Raw genomic sequence first — 7,512 nt, 5'->3', positions numbered from 1 at the left:
TTATTTCTCACATTTTTGGAGGCTGGGAAGTTCAAGATCAAGGTGTTGGTAGATTTGGTGTCTGATAAGGGACCTCTTTCTGATTTATAGGCAGCCATCTTCTCACTGTAACCTCACATGGAGGAAAGGGCAAGTGAGCTTCCTGGGGTCTCTTTTAAAACAGCACTAATCTCCTTCATGATGGTGCCACCCCCGTGGCCTAATTACCTCCCAAAGATCCCCATGTCCAAATGCCATCCCATTGGGGGTTAGGATTTCAACATATGAATTTGAGGGGGACATAAACATTCAGTCCATAGCATGTATGCTGTACAAATTGGAATATCTAGTCCAAGTTCTTGGGTAGATATATTCTTGCTAATATTACATTTTTAAATTCACAAAACACAAAGATATATGCATAAGATGCAATGAAGGGAAACCAAGGCTTGAATCTAGTGTCCCTTTAGCTCTAAGAGGGTTTCTAAAAACTGGAGGACAACTTAGATATACCTGGAAAGTGTACAGTACTTTTTTGCCTCCTGGGGACATTGTTCACATTGGGATACATCTGGCTAATTCTTTATTTGCTTTAAATACTGATTACAACTATTAATACCTATGGAGTTATCAGCTATATTTGCTCCCAACTTGGAGACTGAACTTATCTTTGTCTTAATCTTTCCTAGGTTGTAGATCACACTCTCTTTTCTTCTACTTCATTTAACTTGATTCTTGTCTATGACCAAGGCTACAAACTATAGTCTTATTCCCACCAGTATTTGCAACATTCTCTGAATGTTTGCACCCTAGTCGGCTTTCCTTATGACCTTAATCGGTGATCAATAAAATATTTTCTTACATTTTAATTTAAAGAAAACTTTTCCATGTAGTCTGCTCATATGTTGGCTCAGCCCTAAGGTTTCCATATCGATCAGTTGATCTTATTGTGCTCCTTTGAAAGATGGTGGATGTGGATGTTGGGCTAACTGTGCATCAGTTTACACCTCTGAAGAGTGGGCTGGCAAGAATTCTGAGCTGAGGTTTCTCCAAAGACAATATTGTTATCATAATTGAATTCGTTAGGGTTAAAGTAAGGTTAAGCACCTAGGGCACAACTTAACTAACACATGGTAGGTGCTCTATAAATGTCAATGTTCCATCCATTTCCTGCCTATCAGAGACAGAGGGAAAAGGACGGAGGAAGGGAAAGAGAGAGAGAATCTGATATGTGTTGTACTACAAGATTTTTCAGATTCAATATAGAAGAGATTGTGTCCTTTCACAGCTGCCCACATTATCTTGTTGAATTTAGCTGTTGCCTTAGCTGTGCTTACCTATAGAGGGAAGCATGGGTGACAGCTGCCTTCAGCAGTTTGCTCAGAACTGAATTTAGATGTGTGATTGCCATATCATAGAGGTCCTATAAACTCTCAGTAGGGCTAACACATCTTCCATTTGGGTTACTAAACCAGAGATGCTGGCATCTCTAAATGAGATTCTACAATGTAGAAAAGGAAAACCCACATGTCCATTACAATCAATAAACAGTTTCTGAACATCTCCAATGACATATCACTAAGCTCTCAGAGGGTTGCAAAAATGACTCACGTATAGATCATATTTCTTTCCATTCAGCAGACACACACACACACACACACACACATACGTAGTCACATTCTGAAAGAATGGCAGTATAACTTCTGATTTACAAAGTCTGGTCTGTTCATCTATAACATGCTGTATTCCCAGATGACATACTAAAGAGTCTCCTACATAATTGTCACATCTATTTGCTCCCGGTTCTCTTTATATTTTTATTTGAGGTAAATGGCTCACAATTGTTCTCAGTTGACACATTTTTTGTCCGTTGGCACATGAAAGCACGTGGAATGAGCAGGCATGGCGGGAGAGTGGCATGAAGGTCTGTGGAGCCGGTGAAGAGAGCATGGGCTCCATGCTAATGGGAGAAGTTAATAGAAATCAGGTTTACCAAATCTTTTCCTCAATGTGTTATTAAAAAGGAAGATGCACAGCTTTTTAGTTATTTAGTCACCTCTATATGCAAAGCATTTGAAAAGTAACTCTGAATGTTATTTGATCAATGGAAAGCAGTGAATCATCACATTTCAATAATGCCGTAGTATGGGAATGATAAATGAGCAAGTGATTGGTGTTGGGGTAATGAAAGGAAATGCAAGCAATGCAGATGTTGCTCAGCTCCAATGGTAAGGCACATTAGTCAGGAAATTCCCACTCAGAGCTTTATTTATTTCCCTTTCCTCCACTCACCATCTATCTTATCTTTTTGCTTAATTACAGCCCAAAGTATTTTTAGGAGGTTAAGCTCAAGTGTTGCAGAAATATAACTGGTAACTTTTTCTCTTGTTTTCTGTGTTTTCTTTTACGTTTTATATAAGTGTGTTCCTATTTTCAATGCTGTTTTATGCTTAGTTCTTATATGAAATTTTTATTTTATTTGAATGTAAAACTTCTTTACATTTAGCATTGAGTATTGTACAGTCTTGGTTTGTGGTTTAATTTATAATTACTAGGTAACAAAGTTAGAACTCTGAATGGTTTCTGAATATTGGATTTCCAAATCCACTCTTGCCAAATGAAAATTCACATATGTGTTAGTTATCATAGCTAAAGAGAAGAGATTAATGGGAGGTGCTTTAGATATGAAAAGAATAAAAATAAGGGTCCAATCAATGTACATCCTATGTGAAAGATAAAGTACATTTCTGGAATTATTTAGAGAATAATTTTCTCAAAAATTGAGCATATTGTCTTTGAAAAAATATCAAAATTATTTGTGCTGCGCTTTTCCTTTCTTGTTTGGTATAGCTCATGGTAAGCAAGGAAAGAAAAATATACTATATTTTACCATATTTTTTTCTGGAGTAAGATTATGAATGTTGTATGAGCAGAAGAATAATTTTGAATCAATTTGGGCTGCCCTCAGCCCTCTCCCCTACCCCAGAGCTAGTTTTTAAACTACATAAAACAATTTGTCTGTAATCCATTAAGAATTTATTATATATCAACTGTACATACCCTCTGTTGCTATAGGGTGTGGAAACTTGAGTGCAAATGAGAGGATATGGCTTCATTAGTTTACTGTGATTGCTGTAACAAATTAACACAAGCTTGGTGGCTTAAAACAACGGAAATGTATTCTCTCACAATTCTGCAGGTCACAGTCTGAAATTAAAGTGTGTCAGCAGGGTCGCACTCTCTCTGAAGGCTCCAGGGGGGAGTTTCTCTTTGCCTCTTTCAGCCTCTGGTGGTATTCCTTGGCTTGTGGATGTAATCACTCCAGTCTCAGCCTCTGTCTTCACATGACCTTCTCCTCCTCTCCCTGTGTGTCTCTTGTAAGGACACTTGTCACTGGATTTAGCTCTTACCTGGATAAGATCACATTCACACACTCCAGGAATTAGAGCATGGGTATATCTTTTTGGGTCCACCATTCCATCCTCTACAGTGGCTTAGGTGAAGCTATGCTATCAAGGCTGCTAAAAAATATTCAGAGTTGAGATTTGATGTAGTAAACAGCATCAAAAGTAGTGGAAAAGTCATTTTCCACTTTGTAGAACCTTTCCAATATTTCACTTTGACCATCTTTTCTCAGCACTACCCCAGCTTGTCTGCTTCCTCTTACTAAGCCAGCAAAACTTGTCCTGCAGCTAGACTCATGTCTGCTATATAGTATGTATGTGATGACTAGTTGGTAAATGAATGGAAATGAACTTTCTGTTTTATAGGTTTTATTATGGAAGCAATATGTGGTTTTTGAAAGTTTTCCAAAATACGGTTTGGAATTATAATATTAAAACAGCTTTTTCTTTTTGAAGGATCTATTTCCCAAATATTCAGTCACTTCTCCAAGTGTGATATGTCCCACCAAGTAATGGTCACTTTTAGAAATAAAAAATCAATGAATCTTTTGGACCGGGAGAGAGGCATGCTAAATCCACATGTAAAGATTGTACAAAGGGACAGACCTAACATTTAGAGCATCCTAAATTAGCTAAATGAGGGTGCACGAGAGGAGTTTGAGAAAAAGTGGGCATCAGCAGGGAAGACCATGAGGAACTTGGTGAGAGTCCTATTTGTAGAAAGTGAATTGATTCCAGAGATTAGGATGATTAGGTGGATTATATTGTTTAGTTTACTTTTTATAAAAATAAAAATAACTGTTTTTTTTCCTATCTTCCACTATAAAGATATTATTAAACTATCTTTACATACAGAAACATAAGGAAGAAAACAATTCCTGTAACTTTACAACTCCGAAACAAATTTGTGTATGCATGTGTGGCTTGAATGAGTTTTCCTCCAAAATTCTTACGCTGAGATTTAAACCCCAAGGTGATGGTATCAAGATGTGGGGCCTTTGGGGAAGTGATCGTCATGAGGGCTCCCCTTTTATGAAGGCGGTTGAAGAGATCACTCTAAGACCATTTTTGCTCTTTGCTTTTCCATCCTTTCCACCATGTGAGGACACATAGATGGTGCTATCTATGCGGAACTAACCCTCACCATACACCAAATCTGACAGTGCCTTAATCTTGGACTTTTCAGGCTTCAGAAGGGAAGTTTTTGTTGCTTATAAATTACTCACTCTTAGATATTTTGTTATAGCAGCACAAACAGACTCAGATAATATCAAGGACAGTTTATAGTTAAAGGTTGTTGTTCTGGGGGGAAAGTTGAATTCATAGAGAAGAAAAGAAGTGAGTCCTTCAGCTGCAGAATCAGAGCTAACCATAAGTAGTAGTGAGTCCAGATGAATCCTGAGGTCAAATGCCAGAGAGATTAGAAACAAAACAAAACAAAACAAAGCAGGAACTGTGTTGTGAGATGAGGTAGGACAAATGGTTTATAAGGTTTGCTTTTGTATAGTGCTGTTAGCTTGCCATGACAACAGTCCTGGTAGGTCAGGAGAGCTGAGAAGTATCAGATAGCATGAGATTCAGGAGAAATTAGTAGAGGAGTAGAAAGGAGATTCACTGGGCTGGGCGTGGTGGCTCATGCCTGTAATCCTAGCACTGTGGGAGGCCGAGGTGGGCAGATCACCTGAGGTCAGGAGTTCAAGATCAACCTTCCCAACATGGTGAAACCCCATCTCTATTAAAAACAAAAAAAAAACCATCAGCTGGGCATGGTGGCAGGCGCCTGTAAACCCAGCTACTCAGGAGGCTGAGGCAGGAGAATTGCTTGAACCTGGGAGGCGGAAATTGCAGTGAGCCTAGATCGTGCCATTACACTCCAGCCTGGGCAACAAGTGCAAAACTCTGTCTCAAAAAAAAAAAAAAAAAGGAGATTCACTAATTTAAGAAATTGTTGAAGCAATAATTTAATCATGCCAAGATTAACATGGCAACTAATTATCACAATAGTTTCCATACCAGAATATGTATTACTTTATTTAATGATTTGTAGCCTGATCACTTCTAAAAATGTTTGCAACAGCTTTCAAACTAGAATTGTTTGGAATTGCACATAATTGTAATCATATTGTCCTGGGTCTGGCCTTGCTACCTAAGTCACTATTTCTTATTTGGAGGAAAGGGAATTGAACTTTGAGTGGATTCTGATGCACACCTAGCGTTAAGAGCCACTATTCTGGGGTGGCTGCACTCTGAGTGGAAGCAGTTCTCAGTGTCAGGGGTATGGGTTGATTTGAGGAGCAGGATCGAACCCTGTGAGATGTCATTGGTAGAAACAATCAAGGTCATTGGGGTTAAGCTTCAGTTTGTGGGACCCATAATGAGGAAGCCATTTTGGAGATTTGGACTCAGAGCCCTGGTCATGGGGAGAGTCAGACAGAACAGCCACACACATTTGGGATTAGGTACAGTGGCAGCCTTGTGAGTTGCCATGAGAGCCTCAGAGGAATAAATTCTCCCCAGACACAGAAGATGCTTCCAGGTTTGAGTGTTCATAGGGCAGTTGTGCTTATCCCACAGCCAGGCTAGATTTTCATGGGTGTATGAACTAGCAGGGTCAGGCCTGTCAAGGGCAGAATTTTGGTACCTGTATCTGGGCAGGACGGGCTGGCAGGAAGAGACACATCTGGAACTAAGACTTGTTCAGCCCCTCTTTTTGTTTGAAGGATTAATGGAGTTTGCATGTAATAGCTCAAGAGAGCCTGTCATTGCCTGAGTTAACTCCCCTTTGCTGGGGAGAATGACTGCTGAATGCATAACACAAAAGGATGCATTTTCATAGAATTTGAGTTACCCTCTTAATTCCTAAGCCCAGAATGCTTAGAATTATCTTCGGCACCACCCACTTCAAATCTGACATCTAGTCAGCTATTTGGTAAAGCAAACTCACTCACTTTAGCAGACAGTGAAATAAAAAGTTGTGTGTTGTGTGTGTACTATATGTTGTGTGTGTATGCGTCTGTGTCAGGAGTGGAGGTGATGAAGAGGTGAAAGATTCTTGGGAAAAATAGCCAAATACTCCGTGGATATAAACAGCAAAACCACTGTACCACCACCAGTTAAAATACAAATAGGAGTTTGGTTAAATGAAGCTATCAAAGAATGATTTCATGTCACTTAAGATGAAAGATAATCTAAATCAAGGGTATATAAAAAACAATACTAAGATATAATCGCTAATTCAGAGTCAAGGGTTTTTGTTTGTTTGTTTTTGAGGGTGGAAAGAAATACTAAAGAGAATTTGGAAATTGAGGAAAGTAAATCTCTATAAAGGTCAGATTTTAAAGGACAATGGCAGTTTTCAAGTTTGGACTAAGGAGAGTATGATATGGTGTGGTTGTGGGCACTCCTGTGTGCTGATTAGCTATGACGAAAAGCAGAGGATGACAGGCCTTTAGCAGTGATTATTGCTGATGGGTGAAGGAGGATTCCTGGGATTCAGAGCAGGCTGGGTCTCTGACAGCAGCTTTTGGCTCACTGACTTTCAATCCTCACAGGTCGACTTGGCCTGATCGGTCATCTTCAACTCAGGGTAATAGCAGTAATTTTCGCTTTATTCATTTTTGCCTCTTGGCTGGAGATTCTTTAGCACATCACTTAGTGAAGGCCTTGGCCAGTTGCTGTCAGCTTTTGATGAAAAGAAGACTTTTGATAGTGACTAACATTTTAAGCTCTCATATCTGCCTTTGACTCAATCAGTTATTTTCCGGGTTGTTTTACATGTGATTTATATTGGAACAGATGATCCATCCTTCCTTGCTGTTTCTCTCCCTTCCTTCCCTTCCCCAATATCTCTCACTCTCTCTTTTTTTCCTATTATCTGTCAAGAAATATTTTTACCATATGATATAAATAGGCAAAAATAAATTATGACATTTTGGGAAAATATCAGCTGCCCTTTCCTTATGTGCTAATATTCTAAAGCTGAGTATTTTCTTCCTGTGGAAAATCTGAAAAATTAAAGAATACAGTGGCCATAGTGAGTGTGGTTTCTATAAAACATTTTCAGTCTTACAGATCTATGTGGGTGACTCTGATCTCACAGGAGCACCCTCTTAATTGATTCACACATTTC

Source organism: Homo sapiens, chromosome 9 (assembly GCF_000001405.40).
Source record: "Homo sapiens chromosome 9, GRCh38.p14 Primary Assembly".
NCBI lineage: Eukaryota > Metazoa > Chordata > Mammalia > Primates > Hominidae > Homo > Homo sapiens.
This window is presented reverse-complemented; position numbering follows the sequence as displayed.